This window comes from Homo sapiens, chromosome 20, assembly GCF_000001405.40.
Source record: "Homo sapiens chromosome 20, GRCh38.p14 Primary Assembly".
Lineage (NCBI taxonomy): Eukaryota > Metazoa > Chordata > Mammalia > Primates > Hominidae > Homo > Homo sapiens.
In genome coordinates, this window is record NC_000020.11 from 62,766,068 (window position 1) to 62,782,418 (window position 16,351).

General features: G+C 58.0%; 1 long non-coding RNA gene across 2 annotated transcripts, besides 2 other annotated features; it reads right to left on the reverse strand.

Moving 5' to 3' along the window:
• Positions 2,866-3,597: an enhancer, noted in NCBI's record as "H3K4me1 hESC enhancer chr20:61400285-61401016 (GRCh37/hg19 assembly coordinates)". NCBI's record gives its function as "activates a minimal SCP1, AML or CMV promoter by ChIP-STARR-seq in primed H9 embryonic stem cells {active_cell/tissue: H9 hESC(primed)}" and the evidence as "EXISTENCE:reporter gene assay evidence [ECO:0000049][PMID:30033119]".
• Positions 8,054-10,789, reverse strand: LINC00659 (long intergenic non-protein coding RNA 659). Of its 2 annotated transcripts, none has more exons than NR_046225.1 (3): positions 10,739-10,789; positions 9,248-9,319; positions 8,054-8,502 (listed from the first exon to the last, which is right to left on the reverse strand). It is a non-coding gene; the product is annotated as a long intergenic non-protein coding RNA 659 (long non-coding RNA). The 2 variants fall into 2 exon arrangements; NR_046224.1 differs by having other exon boundaries at positions 9,248-9,453.
• Positions 10,096-10,257: a silencer, noted in NCBI's record as "fragment chr20:61407515-61407676 (GRCh37/hg19 assembly coordinates)". NCBI's record gives its function as "represses an EF-1alpha promoter that drives an FKBP-Casp9 reporter gene in an ReSE screen in K562 erythroleukemia cells {active_cell/tissue: K562}" and the evidence as "EXISTENCE:reporter gene assay evidence [ECO:0000049][PMID:32094911]".
• Positions 10,790-16,351: the final 5,562 nt, after the last annotated feature.

Sequence of the window (16,351 nt, forward strand, 5' to 3'; positions counted from 1 at the left end):
GCTACACCCAGAGCCTCCTGGGGTCTGCTTCAGCCTCTGGGAACCATTTGGCTCCTCTCTTCCCCCTGGGGGGCATGGGGAAAGCATGCCAGGGAGGAACGCTGGTTGGGCAGCCAGGCAGAGGTGGATGTGGCGGGCTCTCACCCCAGGCAAGTTGACCAAAAGGGTGACCGCAGCAAGGTGGGCTCTGCAGGGGACCCCAGGACGCTGGTCAGGCTCAGGGGCAGGGCTGGGGCGCAGGTTGGGAGGGCAGAGGTGAAGGAGCAAACACAAGGCATGGGTGGTCTCGGATGACGGGCACCCTCCCCCACCCACCCATTCAGGTCCTCGCCCTCATTCCCCACGGCAAATTTTCACACGGGCTGTTAGCCAATAGCTATTTTTTAACTCTGGCTACATTTTTAAAGTAAAATTATTGGATTCAGACAACATAGTTCTCCTTAAAGTAAGAAAGTCTGTGCCTAAAGCCGGGAGGAATAAGTACCATTTGGTGGTGAGTTTCAGTATCACCCCAATAAATCATGGGGTGCCACATGGCATGGAGGCAAACCCAGATCAACAACCGAGAGAACAGTCACTGCCCCTCCTCCTGCCCGCCCTCCTCCTTCCACTCCGTGCTTCCCTCTGAGCCCCCCACTCTCCCTCCCAGAAGACCGCCTAGCCCCACAGCCCTTTCCTTTCTCTGGGGTCTTTGTTACATTGACCACCATCCCGACTGGCTTCCACTTGGTTTCTCCCGGCTTTTCGCACACCCACGGCTCTTCATGACTGAGACCCAGCAAGCGGGAGCAGCCTGAGGTCCCTGTGGTCTTTCCAGTTCTGCCTCTCTCTAGGGATCCCTGGGCTCTGTGCCAAGGAGGAAGGAGCTGGAGCAGCGAGGCAACAAGGTCAGCCTCCTCCCGGGTGGGCAGGTGGGAGCAGCAGTAAGATGCGTGGGGACCAAGGACACACCAAGCGTCCTTCATAAACACCCCGTAGGATCCACAGCCACACACACGCCAGCGTTTAAAGAACTGAAAAAGGCTGGGCGCGGTGGCTCACGCCTGTAATCCCAGCACTTTGGGAGGCCAAAGCGGGCGGATCACTTGAGGTCAGGAGTTTGAGACCAGCCTGGCCAACATGGTGAAACCCCGTCTCTACTAAAAATACAAAATAGCTGAGCGTGGTGGTGGGCACCTGTAATCCCAGCTACTTGGGAGGCTGAGGCAGGAGAATCACTTGAACCCAGGAGGCGTAGGCTGCAGTGAGCTGAGGTTGCACCACTGCCCTCTAGCCTGGGTGACAAGAGCAAGAACTCCATGTCAAAGACAGAGAGAAAGAGAGATAGAGAAGAAAGAAAGAAAAGAAGAAAGAGAAAGAAAGAAAGAGAAGAAAGAAGAAAGAAAAGAAGAAAAGAGAGAGAGAGAGAAGGAAGGAAGGAGAAAGAGAGAGAGAAAGAGAAAAAGAGAGGGAGGGAGGGAAGGAAGGAAGGAAGGAGAAAGAGAAAGAAAGAAAAAGAAAAGAAAGAAAGAAAGAAAGAAAGAGAGAGAGAGAGAAAGAAGAAAGAAAGAAAGAAAGAAAGAAAGAAAGAAAGAAAGAAAGAAAGAAAGAAAGAAAGAAGGTTGAAGGAAGGAAGGAAGGAAGGAAGGAAGGAAGGAAGGAAGGAAGGAAGGAAGAACCCAGCCACCATCTGCTTCTGAGCTGATGAGGCCCTCCCTCCCATCCCCACGGGAGGACACCCCCACAGGAGGACGAGAAGACACCCCCATGGCAGGACCCCCCTGAGGGCTGACAGCCCCACAGAAGTGCCTTCTGCGCCGGGTGTGTCCCTGCCTCATCCCCCTTCCCACCTCCCTGCCTCTGCCTCCATCTCACATAGCAGAGGGGTCCCCCAAACCCCCCTGCCCAGCCCCAAGCCACTAGGGCAGAGGCAGGGCCTTGTTGACAGCCAAACGCTGTCCTCTGGGGGACAAAGAAGAAAGCCCCTTTCCCAACCACAGGCCTCCAGTGCTCCTGCTGCCCCTGTTCCCTGTGTCTCCTGGGCAGGCAGATGGGCGGGCTCACGTCAGAACCACCAGGGAGCCTGTTCCAGACCAGTTTCCCAGGCCCCAGCTGAGCCCCAGGCGATCAGAAGGTAGGGTGGCCTGGGAATCTGCATGTTAACGACTTATCCAGGAGAGTCAGATGCGCCCTGGGGTGGGAGAGCCACCTCCCTATACCTTCCCATCCATCCATCCATCCATCCATCCATTCATTCATTCATCTGCTCAGTGCTCCTCGGGACCTGGCTGACTCGGCACCCCCCTGGCTGGCACAGAACGGAGGGTGTGGGGCTCTGCTGCCCCAGCCCCTGCAAGGAATTCTCACAACCCCCGTTCACTCCAGGGCATAGGAGATCACTGCACCCCAACCGGAGGAACACTGACATTGACGACAACATCATAGGAATGGAAATACAACCATGGAATTCCAGCTCAGTCATGGAGCGGGAGATCTGGGGACACTGGCCGGGCAGCCTGCCCCAGGCACCCCTGAACTCCAGTCCCCTGAAGCCAGAGCCCGGGTCAAGCCCCTCCCCACCCAGCAGGTCTGCCGAGCTCCGCCCTGTTCCAGCACAGAGACAGAAGCCCATCGGCTAGGAGGCCCACCCAGGAGGACAGTGCCGGCCCGTCGCCATCGCGAGGCAACAGGGGAGCTCTTGAGAGAGAATTCTATACACTCTAAATACCTCTGAAGGAAGAAAAACCAGCCACAGCCATTGAGACCTGAGCTTCCTGTATAGAAAATGTTCCCTCCTGCCTCCACCCTCTCTCCCAGCTCCCCAACTCCCTGCAATTATGACTGGAATTCCAGTTTTTATCAGAGCACCATGGAAACCATGGCCAGGCTGAATTTATGAAAGGAATGACGCCAAGCAGAGAGAGAACCGGTGAGGGGAAGGCAGGGAGCCAAGGCAGGGCAGGAGAGCAAGGCAGACGAGGAGGGGCTGGCACCCGCAGGGCGCCCGCAGCACGTGGTGAGTGGGCCCTCCCCAGCACACGTGCACGTATACACAGGCACCCCATGCACATGCACACAGCATGCACATGTGCCAGCGCATGCATACACACACAGACACACGTGTACACACAGGCACACTTGTGCACATACATGAACCCATGGGCACACACCCATGTACATGTGCCAGCACATGCATATACACACAGACACACATGTGTACACACAGGCACACTTGTGCACATACATGCACCCACATGCACACATTTACACTCAACTCACACACACACAGGCAAATGCATATACACATGCCTGCACGCACACACAGGCATGGCATGTGAACATGAGTGCACACACACAAGTGCTCACACCCGGGCACATTCAGCCTGCATAGGGCCTCCCATCTCACCAGGAAGGGCTCGTTCCTTGGGTCTGTGAGACCAGCCGCTTCTCATCCTGCCAGGCCAACTAACCAGGTGACTAGCAGAGCCACTGGGGACACCCCCAGCCAGGCCCAGACCCCAGCCAATTACCCAGGGCCTGGAGCAAGGCCCTGTCAGCTCAACCCCCATCATCTGACCTGGTTCAAGGCCCATGGCCACCGAGAGCCAGTCTGCAGCTGGGCAAAAGGGCAGGTGCCGGAGCCCTCAGGGTCAGCAGCTGTGTCTAGAGCTCGCTGGACAAAGGCTAGGCCAGGCACACTTCAGAAAGCACCTGCCTCCCACCCACTCTGGTCGGTCCCCCACCCCAGTCACTATGTGGCACTGAGGTCTCATCTCGGGCCCCAGTGCCAGGCTCTTGGCCAGCCCTGTCAGGATGGGGCAGAACCCTGGGGGTAGGGAGGGCCTGTGACTGGGCCACCACGCTGCAAGTACAGCAGTGAGAATGACCGCTAGGAAAGGACACTGGCGGCAATAGGGGGCTCTGCCCAGGGCTCTCTGCCTGGGCTGGGGCAGGCCGGCTATCAGGCAGTCGCACCCCCAGAGCGGCCTCGTTTGTTACCCCCACAGGCAGGAGTTGGATAAATACTCAGCCTCCTCCCCGCTCCAGGGGAGTCACTGGAGGGTGCTCAGCAGGGGCACTAAGCCATCAGCCCTTACAGGTGCATCCCCTTCCCTACTCCCTGTCTTCCTGGGTCACCTCCCAAAGAAATGAACAGCTTCCACATCAACCCTGGCCTCATTCTGCTTCCAGGGAGAGTCAGCCAAAAACATCAGGAGACAGCCATGGTGTAGGGAGCATGAGGACCGGGACCCAGGCACTGGCACGCCAGCCTGAGGACCGGGATCCAGACACCGGCACTCCAGCCTGAGGACTGGGACCCAAATGCCGGCACTCCAGCCTGAGGACCGGGACCCAGACCCAGACGCTGGCACTCCAGCCTGGACGCCCGCTCACCGGCATGCGCACGGGTGAATATGGAGGGAGGTGGGGGAACTAGGAAAGGAAGAGGAGGTCCCCTGGAGGGAAAGGCGTGGAAGCTGAGGCCTGGAGGGGGCAGATGGGAGGAATGTTCTGGGCAAAGGGGCAAGCTCCTGGACCTGTTGTTACCATGGCCAGGACTCCCCTCACCCAGCTGACAGCACAGCCCCACAGAGCCCCCAGGTGAGGGCCTCATCCCCATCCTCACACAGTCCCCAGGGAGGGTCCCCCCTCACAGAGTCCCCAGGTGAGGGCCTCATCCCCACAGAGTCCCCAGGGAGGGCCCCGCCTCACAGAGCCTCATGCCTGCAGACAGGGCCAGGTGAGGTGGACGTCTCTTGCACCTACACATCCTCGCGACAGGAGGATGCACGTCGTACAGATGGGGAAACAGGCTGGGAAAGGGAGTGTGACCTGCCCGTGATCCCAGAGGTGTGGCTACCAGAGCTGGAACTAAAACCGGAGCCCTTCACCAAATCCAGGTGTGACTCGAAGTCCTGAGTGCACAAAGATCACACGAGGACAGAGGCTCCTGGGCCTGCACAAACCACAGTTCCGGGCACCCCAGCTCCAGCCGGCCCGCACGCTCCACCAGGGCCTGTCCCCACACCTGCCCTGGGACAGAGGCTCTCACCCCATGCAGCCACGCAGAGAAAGACCACCCCCGATTCGCACCTGCAGAGGTGCCCAGGGGGGTCCCGCCTCCCCAGGGACAGCGAGTCACACCTGCCACCTCCCAGGGCAGTCACAATGCCAGCCCACAGGAGCCGCAGGAGCTTTGCCCTCCTAAAGATCATGTTGTTGGAAGACCAGAGCCTTCGGGGGCTTAGTTATGCTCTGAGGGTCCTAAAGCCACGTGAGGGTAGCTAAGGCCACCACAGTCCCCCACTCGGCGGGGGAGGGAGGGCAAGAATGACATTGAAGGTGGCAAACAAGGAAAAACAAGGAACGGGGTCTCTGCCCTCTCTCTCGGGGGCCCCTGACCTCTCTGGGGTCTCTGGCCTCTCACGGGGTCTCTGCTCTTTTGGGGGTCACTGGCCTCAGAGTTCTCTGCCCTCTGAGGAGTCTCTGCCCTCCTGGGGTCTCTGCCCTCTCCGGGTCTCTGCTCTCTTGGGATTGCTGCCCTCTGGGGGTCTCTGCTGTCTCGGGGTCTCTGCCCTCTCGGGGGTCTCTGTTCTGGGGGTGGTCTCTTCTGTCTCAGTGCCATGTCCCTGCCTTGCCTTTCTCCTCTCTGGTCGTCCTAGCTCCCAGGACCTAAGCTGGCCTTGGATGAACCCAGTACGGTGCCTCTCCTGCCTGTATCGGGGCATCCGGGCACTGCCAGCGTCCCATTACTGGACTCTGGTCAAGGAGCTTGGTGTGGATAACGGGAAGTTTTGGAAACTTCCCACCCTTCCCAGAGGGCTTAAAGGGACTGGGGCGAACGCCCAACCCAGCCACAGCCGTCCAGGGCTTTGTTTCTGACATGCCTTAAAAGGGGACAGAGTGGCCGCCGAGGGGACGGAGCCTGCCGTGTCCCGTGTGCAGCGGCGGACCACCAGGCAGAGCGCCAAGGGGAGTGTCCGGAGATCCAGCATGGGAAGAGCCCCCTGCCACTTCCAGCAAGGAGCACACAGGTGCATCCGTTCTTTCTGCCCCACACTTTCTAGGGACAGCAGGCCGAGCCCATGGTGTGCGCCGTCAGCATGGGCTCTGCAGCCTCCGACCCATGTGCGGCCTGCCCGGACCCTCGCTCCTCCGTGTGCGGCTCGCCTGGACCCTCGCTCCTTTGGGCCGTCACTCTCCCTACTTTGTAGACCTGGAATGCCATCCCTGCCCCAGCTCCACTGCCCATGGGTGGCCATCCAGCAGCCACGGTGGAGTACACGCTGCACTGTGGTGCCCAGGGGCCCTCTATCACGGCAGGACTCCCCAACGCGATGTCCCCGGGGTTCACTGCCCCAGCCCTCAGTGGCCTGCCTCTCTAGGCATTGCACTGGCAGAAGAAAATGTTCTCGTCCAAGCTCACAGCCACCAAGGTCACAGGCTACCAAGGTCATGGCCACCCACACCGGGCAGCTGACCTCCAGGATCATCCTCGGGAGATGCCCGCCTGGCCCCACCTGGCCGCCCTGCCCCATTTGCCCCATCACCCCACACCACTGCACTCCAGCCTGGGCGACAGAGCAAGACTCCGTCTCAAAAAAACAAAAGAAAAGAAAAGAGAAAAAGAACTCTATGTCCTCATTTCAAATGCAGGGAGAGTCTCTCGGTTTAAACCGTAAGTGCCCTTCCCAACTCGGCAGACCCGCCCCAGTGAAGAGCATTTTCATGACTTGGGAACAGGACACTCACCTTGCCACTAGGCAGGACTGTACTCACTGGCTCGGGGGGCGCCCAGGCAGGAGACAAAGCATTTTCCCATGGCATATGGATGGCTTCCGTGTGCTGCATGACTGGGCAGTGTGAGAAAAACGCAACCCCCAGTGACTGCTGTAGAGGACAATTCAGCCAAAAATCAAACTGCCACCGTCATCTGCTGAGACCTTGATTTCCCAGGGCCTGGTGGTGCTGAAATACTCAGAACATCCTGAATGAATGAATGTCCACTTCCTTCACCAGCTCTGTGCTGGGGAGGGGGCAGGGCCTGCGTCTGATCAGGAGCTCCTCCCCCGGGGACCAGCCTGGAACCCCTTATAGCGATCAGGAGACACAGGAGACACCCTGAATGACGACACTGAGCTCTTTCCAATCTCTTGCTTGTCCCAGCGAGTACAGTGAGCACATCTTTCCCTGTGCTCTGGGCAAACCCCTGCGGCAGCAGCTCCTACCGTGAAATTGGTGTTTCTGGGTCACAGGGTTTGTGCCTTTGTGATTTTGTTGCTATTGCCAAATACCCTCTGCAGAATTGTGCCAAGGCACCTCCCCACCAGCCTGAGCATTTGCAGTGAAACGCTTTAGCAATCCTGACATTTCTGCCAGCATATTCCACAGCATGCTCTCTTTGCCACATTAATCAACAGGAGCTCAGAGGAAAACTTGAACTTCAGGCTGAGCCATTTCCTGCAATCTGAAAAATGAACGTGGCCTTCGGACACAGGGTGGTCCCTTGCCAGGGACTGGATGGAACTGGTTCAATTCCCCGCTCCTGGGCTTCCTGGTGTGCAACGTGAGCCATGCTCACCCCAGGGTGGCTGGGAAAAAACGCCGGTCCGCTCTGAGCATTCGTTTCAGTGATGGCTGTTCTTGTTCACGTGAGATGTGCCAACTCTACAATACTAAACCGTTGGGAGAAGCTTCAAGGGGACAGCACCTGGGGAGGGGCAGTGGCGGGCTCCAGGTTGCCCAAGGCTGTCATGGAGAGGAGGAGACCCCAGTCCAGCCCAGCCTTGTGCCTGCAGTGGAGGTTCCAGTTGTGAAGGGGCTCCAAGTGCCTTGTTCATCCTTTGCTTGATAATGAACCACCTCTGCCAGGTGCCAGCTGTACTGTGCACCTGCAGCTCCACACCCTCTAGGCACCAGCCCCTCCACTCTTTGGCCTCTTCGACAGGGAACCCCGAGGGGACAGTGGAGCAGGCCTGGGGCTGTTCCAGGCAGCAGGGGGGCGCCTGGGTCAGCGTCCCCACCCGCTGCCCTCCCCGGCCTTCCAACTTGCTGTGTGCACATTAACAACATGGACGGTCTTTTTCTTTTATTATAAAAGTGATTCATTCTCTTGTGAAGATTTAAATATGAAAGAGTGGATCTCCGCTAATCCCACCCGGTGATGATAGCAGCCGACAGATGGGCGAGCATAGAGCTCAGACATTGCCAGCAGCGTCAGATCCTTATATATCCAGAGCACGGCTCACACGCCACCGCCCTGCTGGCTCTGTCAGCCGCATGGTCCTCCGCGACACCTGGGGCTCTCCCTCCTTCCTTTGTGTGCACAACCTCAAAGCCATTTTTTCCAGACTTGGCGTGAAGATGATTTTCTGACACGTTGATGCTTCTGAAGCACAAGGAGGGCCCTGTCTCCACGGTGTCCAAGCAGAGGCTGACATCCTTTCAGGAGGGAGGTGATTCGGGCGCAGCTGGGCTGGCGGGAGGCATGGAGGCTGAGTCCCCTTCCTCACTGCTCTCTACCTGGAGAAGAAACCACCAGACCATGAGGCCGAGCTGGGGAAAGTTCCGGGGGGCTGCTTGGGCTCTGTGCTCCCTCCACTGGGGCAGGCGGAGGGCCCTGCGTGCTCCTTCCAGGCAGGGGCTGAGGGGACTGTGGAAGCCACGACAGGGGTCTGTGTGAACAGAAGACCCAAGGACAAGGTGCCCCAGCACTCCCAGCCACTAGCAAGGACAGGCAATTTTCAAAACTTCTCCCCAAACTACAACCTCAGGAAAAGGGGTGGAGAAAACTCCTTTGACAGAGATTTGGTTTTCACCACCATGACAGGACAATGATGATGGATGGAAGCTGTGGCTGGGCGTGGGAAGGCTGAGTGTGCAAATGTGGGTGGAGTTCTGGGGCCCCGCCCCCGCCAGTCTTCCACTTGGTCCCTGTGAGGACCCACATGAGGGAAGTGTTGCTTCTGGCCTCAGAACCCAAGGCAGAGCAGGCTGGAGTCCCACCCCATGGATCACGAGCCCACGCTGTGACCCTGAGTCCTGGACATGCGCAGAGGGAGGGTGTGCACGAGCCCGGGAGCTCCTGTCTCTGTCTTAAGAGTGGAGCATGTCTTAAGAGCTGGCATGAGGATCAGAGGGTCCCTTCAGTGCGGCCTTCTAGAAGAACTACAGCAACCAGGCCCTCGCAGGGGGGAGATGCACCTGCTGGGGCTAAGGAGCGAGTGAAGCCAGCCCCTGAGACACATGCTCCCAACCCCATCCTCACCTCCCAAGAGAGGGGGAGCCTCCTGTTAAGCATCCAAGTCCCAAGTCACCGGCCGGCATCGGCTGCAGCTCTCTGTGTGTGGAGACATCTCATTCTGGTGTCTTCTTTACACAGGTCAGCGCTCACAGGCTCGGCTGTGTCTCAAGACCCAATTCCTTCGAGTCACTGAGATGCCCAAGGACAAGGGCAACAGAGAGTGTGAAAAGCTGGAGTAGACAGGACAGAAAACAGGGTGCAGCGTCCCCCAGGTTGGCAGATAGCCCAGCCCCAGGGACCCCACAGCCATGGCAACCTGTGTGAATGAGCCCCAGGAGCAGGGCAGTACACGATCTGCGCGACTGTGCGGGGCAGCCCTGGGTCTCTGCCTCAGGGGAGAGATTGTGTCCTCGCCTTTTGTGGTTTCTAGAGGTTCCTGCCCTCCTTGGCTGCACGGCATCTCCCAGCCTCTCTCTCCCTTCCGTCGTCCCCTCTCCTCCTCTGACCCTGACCCTCCCAGTCCCTCTTAGAGGGGCTGTGATTAAACTGTGCCCACCCTGACCATCCAGAATAATCTCCCATCTCAAGGTCCTTAACAGCATGTGGAACTGCACTAGCCGCCCCAAGGCCCCCAAAAGGCAACCCTGGATTGGGCCCCCCAAGTTGCCTGGGATTCATGGCCACCACCCGGCTCGACGGCTCCAGACCGAAATGCACCCAGTTATAGAAACAGACAGTTGCCTCTTGAATGTGCACATGTGTGAGGAGAGTGTCACACCCGTCGAATTAAGGTGGACCCGCCATGAGTGGGGGCAATGCTGGCCAATGCCCACCTGCCCAGCACCCACAGCTCTCGGCCTGGGGCTCCCTCTGTCTCTGGAGCCCGCACTAAAGTGTGCGTCTCCATCCACGACTGGCAGGGCTTGGGGCATAGACATCCCGCTGCCTTGCCTGGAGGCGCCCCAGGCCTCCACTCCCACACTGTCTCAGGGCTCCCCGGGGCTCGGCTCTCCTTGCTCACAGTGGTCCGGGCTGGGGTTCCTTCTTGGTTGCATTTCCAGCTGTGTTCTTTCCTTCACTTTCTCACTCTCCCTTGCCTCAGGGTCTGCATCTGGGGGTCCACTGGGGAGGACTCAGCCTCTCCCGCGTCCTCCATCCCACACACCTGTCCCTGGGCAGCCACGGGGAACAGGAGCACAGGGGACAGCAGGCAGAGGGCAGCGCCCGGGCGAAGGGGACTTTCGCCCTTGCTTCATGCAGCCCTGGCACCCGCAGCAGGGTAAGACGAGATCCCAGAGGAGGAGTCTTGGCCGCAGAACTGCAGGGCCAAGGCACCAGCCGCTCGGGGGCCTGGAGAGCTCAGGTCACAAACTTGAAGTCAGCTGCCCAGGAAGCAGCCTCAGCTGGGGGTCACAGGCCAACTGGGCAGTGCCCTTGGCCACACCTGTGGAAGGAGGACAGAGGAGGGCAGGGCGGAGGAGGGAGGTGCTGGGCTGCAATGTCACCTCTACAGACCTCGGCTGATCCCAAGGGGGTCCACAGTGGATATGGTCCTTCAGGGGTGCCCTTGAAGGCAGGAAGGGGACAGGACTTTATACTGTTCCTCCCACCCCTTCGAGCAGTCACCAACTGCAGCCCAGATGAGGTCAACAGGTACAGAAAGGAGGGGGTGGGACAGGAAGGAGGGGCGGGACAGGAAGGAGGGGGCGGGACAGGAAGGAGGGGCAGGACAGGAAGGAGAGGGTGGGACAGGAAGGAGGGGCGGGACAGGAAGGAGGGGGCGGGACAGGAGGAGGAGATGGGAACAGGGAGGTGGAACGGGAAGGAGGAAATGGGACAGGAAGGAAGAGATGGGAGCAGGAAGGAGATAGGACTGGAAGGAGGAGATGGGACTGGAAGGAGGAAATGGGACAGGAAGGAGGAGATGAGGCAGGAAGGAGGAGATGAGGCAGGAAGGAGATGAGGCAGGAAGGAGGAGATGAGGCAGGAAGGAGGAGATGAGGCAGAAAGGAGGAGATGGGACGGAAAGGAGGGGATAGGACAGAAACGAGGGATCAGGGTCCTATTCTAATCTCCTGGGGGCATGATTGCAGGGGGTGACATGATTACTTCCAGCCAGCCCTACATGAGCCACCTCGTCCATGGAGTCAGCCCCGCCAGGGCAGCAGAGCCCTGGGTTCGCACAGGGAGCCAGGGTGGCGTGGGGCCTGCATTGCAGACTCCATTTGTCCACATCAATCACTTCTCTACGGCCCAAATCACCCTTAGTTGCCCAGTTCCTGCTCCGCGGCAGTCTGGCTCCTGCTGGCGCCCCAGCCATCTGTCTGCATTAGAGAATGATGCTTGCCAGGGCCTCAGGGAGGTGGCACGGATGGGCAACACTGTGCTCCCGGACCAGGTGACAGACACCACCTCATGCCCCATGGCATGGACCTCCACCTGTCTGATGGCTTTGCCCCAGCCTATCTGATGGCATGGTCCCTGGCCAGTCTATCTAATGGCGTGGTCCCCAGCATGTCTGATGGCGTGGTCCCCAGCCTGCCTGATGGCGTGGTCCCCAGCCTGTCTGATGGCATGGTCCCCGGCCTGTCTGATGGCGTGGTCCCCAGTCTGTCTGATGGCGTGGTCCCCGGCCTGTCTGATGGCGTGGTCCCCGGCCTGTCTGATGGCATGGTCCCCGGTCTGTCTGATGGTGTGGTCCCCAGCCTGTCTGATGGTGTGGTCCCCGGCCTGTCTGATGGCTTGGTCCCTGGTCTATTTGATGGTGTGGTCCCCAGCCTGTCTGAAGGTGTGGTCCCCAGCCTGTCTGATGGCGTGGTCCCCGGCCTGTCTGATGGCTTGGTCCCTGGTCTATTTGATGGTGTGGTCCCCAGCCTATCTGAAGGTGTGGTCCCCGACCTATCTATCTGATGGTTTGGTCCCCAGCCTGTCTGATGGCGTCGTCCCCGGCTTGTCTGATGGCATGGTCCCCGGCTTGTCTGATGGCATGGTCCCCAGCCTGTCTGATGGCATGGTCCTCAGCCTATCTGATGGTGTGGTTGGTGTGGTCCCCAGCCTATCTATCTGATGGTGTGGTTCCCTGGCCTATTCGATGGTGTGGTCCCCAGCCTGTCTGATGGGGTGGTCCTCTGTTGGCTGGTGTGATCCTGCCTCTTGTCTCACATCGTGAACCCTGGCCTGCAGGAGGTGACCCAAGGCTGATGACTCCTTCTCCGGGGCCCTTGCACCACACAGCCTGGCCCTGATTACAGCCCCTGGGCTCCTGTACCTGTCCTCGCAGCCCCCACTCTGCCACTTTGCATTTGTCTGTTTCACTCAACACACATTTAATGAGCACCTACTGTGTGTACCAAGCCCAGTGGGGAACAGCACATCAATGAGGCTGGTGCGGGAGGCCTTGGGTACCCTCCGTCTGGCTCCCCGCCCCAGCGCATGAGGCTGCCTCTCTGGGTCTCGGACGCCCACACCGCAGTGTCTGGGAGAAGGCCTGGAAGCCTGCATTTGGGCAGTGGCTCTGGGGCCCGGCCTTGCTGGCTTCCGGTGGCCCCAGGCAATGACTCCTCCCTGTCTCCATTTACAGATGGGGAGAGGAGCTGAGGATGGTGGGCCCGTGACCCTGAGTGGCCAGTTCATTCCCCAGGCCCTGACTGGTGCAGCAAGAAAGAGAATCCGCCTTGGGTTGGGGGATGTGGCATGAACTTTAAGATCCACCCTTTTCCACCCTGGGATCCTGGCCCCCGTCCCGCATCCCAGCCCCAGCCAGGACAGCCCCTGGCCACACCTTCTCGGCACATCAAGAGTCATGAGAGGCAGCGTCTGCCACCAGGAGGCCTCGTCCCACCGGGCCACCTGGCCAGGGCAGCTGCGACAGGAGGCAGAGCTGAGGCCCTGAGCCCTCCTCTGCCCATTCCCAGCTCACCCTCAGGGTTCTAGCCCTGTGTCGCTGCCCCTCTGATCCAAAAACTTGCCACAGGTCCCCTCCCTGCCATGCTGCCCTCTGAGTGACACCCACCCCCTGCAGCCCCCACAGCCCCCACCTTCCCTTCAGAAAGCAGGAGCTGTTGGCCCCGGGGCCCCGCCCACAGGCCACGGTGTCAGTGGTGGCTGAAGTCCGCCGTGCTCACCAATCCTCTGCAGTCTCGCCCCTGCAACAACAGCACTTGAGGAAGGAACTGGCCACGCAGCCTTTCATGAGGTGGGAAACTGAGGCTCAAGGGTGTCTGTACTTTGAACTGGACCACCCCGCTGTGAGAAGGAGCAGGGCAGAGACTGGGAGCACCCACCCTCCCGCACCCTGTGTGCTGACATGAGCTCATCCCTGCTGCTGCAGGGCCAGAGAGACAGACGGACAGTTTGACGGTGGTCCCTGGAAGGGTCGACACAAATGAAAAAATTTTTTAAATTAATCTTCTTTCCTGCAAAAGGGAAAACAGACCCCTTTTCTTTCGGCTTTTAGTTAGAAAGCTCTTCGTTGTGGATTCTTTGAATGTGGGTAAATCTTTTTTTTTTTTTTTCTTTTTTTTGTGATGGAGTCTTGCTCTGTCGCCAGGCTGGATTGCAATGGCACGATCTTGGCTCACTGCAACCTCTGCCTCCCGGGTTCAAGCGATTCTCCTGCCTCAGCCTTCTGAGTAGCTGCGACTACAGGCGCCCGCCACCAGCCCAGCTAATTTTTTGTATTTTAGTAGAGACAGTGTTTCATCATGTTGGCCAGGATGGTCTCGAACTCCCTACCTCGTGATCTGCCCACCTCAGCCTCCCAGTGTTGGGATTACAGGCATGAGCCACCATGCCCAGCCAAATGTGGGTAAATCTTTTTAAAAGCTGAATAAGCCCCCTGCCTGGGCACAAGCCAGGGATGTCTTTCCCAGGGGCAGGATGCACCATCTTTGAAACGTGGACATCAAGGAAGGCGGCACCTGCCTCCCCGCTCCCTGCCCAAGCCCAGGAGCCCGACTTTGGCGGGCGCAGTGCTTCAGAACCACCTCCCGTCGTAGAGACACGAGGAGTTTGTTTTTCCTTTGGATAAAGCCAATTAGCTGGCACAGATGGTCACCCCAGTCCCCAGGTGGATGTGTGGTGGCGTCTGTGTGACAAATGGTGCCGCCAAGCCGTCCCACGGGAAGACGAGCTCCTGTTTGTCTTTCAAGGAGAGATGCACGTAGCGGACTGCATCCGCCCGGCTGTGTGCAGGCTGAGATTTCTCTCTGTCTTTGCAAACTCTCAGCAGCTTGCACGTCGTGCACCTGGCATCCTGGTTTGATGCTCAATCAATGGCAAAACGGGTTTCTTTCTTTTCTGCCTTAGTGGAGAGGTCTGGGGGTTAGCAAGAGATTTTGTTTTTAATTGTATTTCTCCAACACCCCATGAGATGCTCCAACTCCATGTGACTAGGAAGGGGCAAGGGAGGAAACCTGTGGAGTCCCCTGCACAGGACGCTGTCTCCGCCCTGCTACGACGCTGTCTCCGCCCTGCTACCATGCTTATTCCTGGCTGCTGCTTTGCTGTTGACTCTCACAGGCAGATGAGGTGTCTGCTCAGAGAAGAGCCCAGGTGCCACCGAGGGAATGCAACGTGCCACACCCCAAGACATGACACTTGTGAGAACAGTGTGGCCCAGCCCCCACTCCGGGCACAGCCTCGGACACCCTGCCCGCCTCCGCCCATGGAGGTGCGGCCTGCAAAGCGTACCTGCCGCCGCCTTCCCATCCCTCGGGAAAGCCAGCCTCATGTCCAGTCTAAGGAGAATTCTAAGGGATGCTGCCAGCCACCTGCAGGCTCCGGGCTGAGCTCAAGGGAGGGGCCAAGGGCGGCTTTAAAAGGCCTTCACTGATCACTTGCCAAGAAGCCCAAAATAGCTTCCCAATCTACCAGCCTCCATGTGCGCCGTGACCGGGACATGTTCTGAGTCTTGTCTTTTCATTTTTTGTGTTTTTCAAAAGTATACAACTTATAAATAAGAGTATAAAGCCTGGCGTGGTGGTTCACGCCTGTAATCCCAACACTTTAGGAGGCCGAGGCAGGTGGATCACGAGGTCAGGAGTTCAAGACCAGCATGGCCAAGATGGTGAAACCCTCTCTACCAAAACACAAAAAAATAGCCGGGAGTGATGGCGGGAGTCTGTAATCCCAGCTACTCGGGAGGCTGAGGCAGAGAATTGCTTAAACCTTGGAGGCGGAGGTTGCAGTGAGCCAAGATCACGCCACTGCACTCCAGCTTGGGTGACAGAGTGAGATTCCGTCTCAAAAAAAGTATAATTTCCAGTAGGTAACACGTGCACGTGGAGCCACACACAGGAGGCAAAAGCAAAGTCCACGTCCTCCCAGCCCCAGGCCTCTTCCTCAAGGCAGCCCTGGGAGGCGTTTACATGCTCCTAGAGGGATGGGACAACCTGGTCCCTCCTCTCCCACCTACGGACAATTTGTCCCTTTGAATCAGGAGAATTGGGTCTGGTCAGGGAACCTAAGGCTGTTTCACACTGACTTATTAGAACTAAATTCTAAATTGAAAGGAAAACTCTAACTTTCCAGGCCTAAGTAACAAAAGGACCAGAGGCTACTCCCTTTGCAAACCCGGCAGATGGAAAATTAAAAGTATCTCTGATTGGTTGCTTTTTGCAACCAATTAGATGTTTGCATAGGAGTGTAACTTTGTTTTTTGTTTGTTTGTTTGTTTTTTGGCTTTTTGTTTGTTTTCATTTTGTTTTGCTTTTTGAGATAGAGTCTCGCTCTGTTGCCCTTGCTGAAGTGCAGTGGGACAGTCTCAGCTCACTGCAACCTCTGCCTCCTGGGTTCAAGCAATTCTCATTCCTCAGCCTCCTGAGTAGCTGGGATTACAGGTGCACGCCACCACACCCAGCTAATTTTTGTATTTTTAGTAGAGACTAAAGCAGGGTTTCACCGTGTTGGCCATGCTGGTCTTGAACTCCTGACCTCAGGTGATCCGCCTGCCTGGGCCTCCCGAAGTGCCGGGATTACAGGCATAAGTCACAGTGCCTGGCCAGGAGTGTAACTTTGTAACTTCACTTCAGCCTCTGATTGGTTGCTCTCTGCAGCCAATCAGACTGGTTGCAGTCACCACTTCATTTACATAAGGTGAGCACCAAGTGCCAATGGGAAACCTCTAGG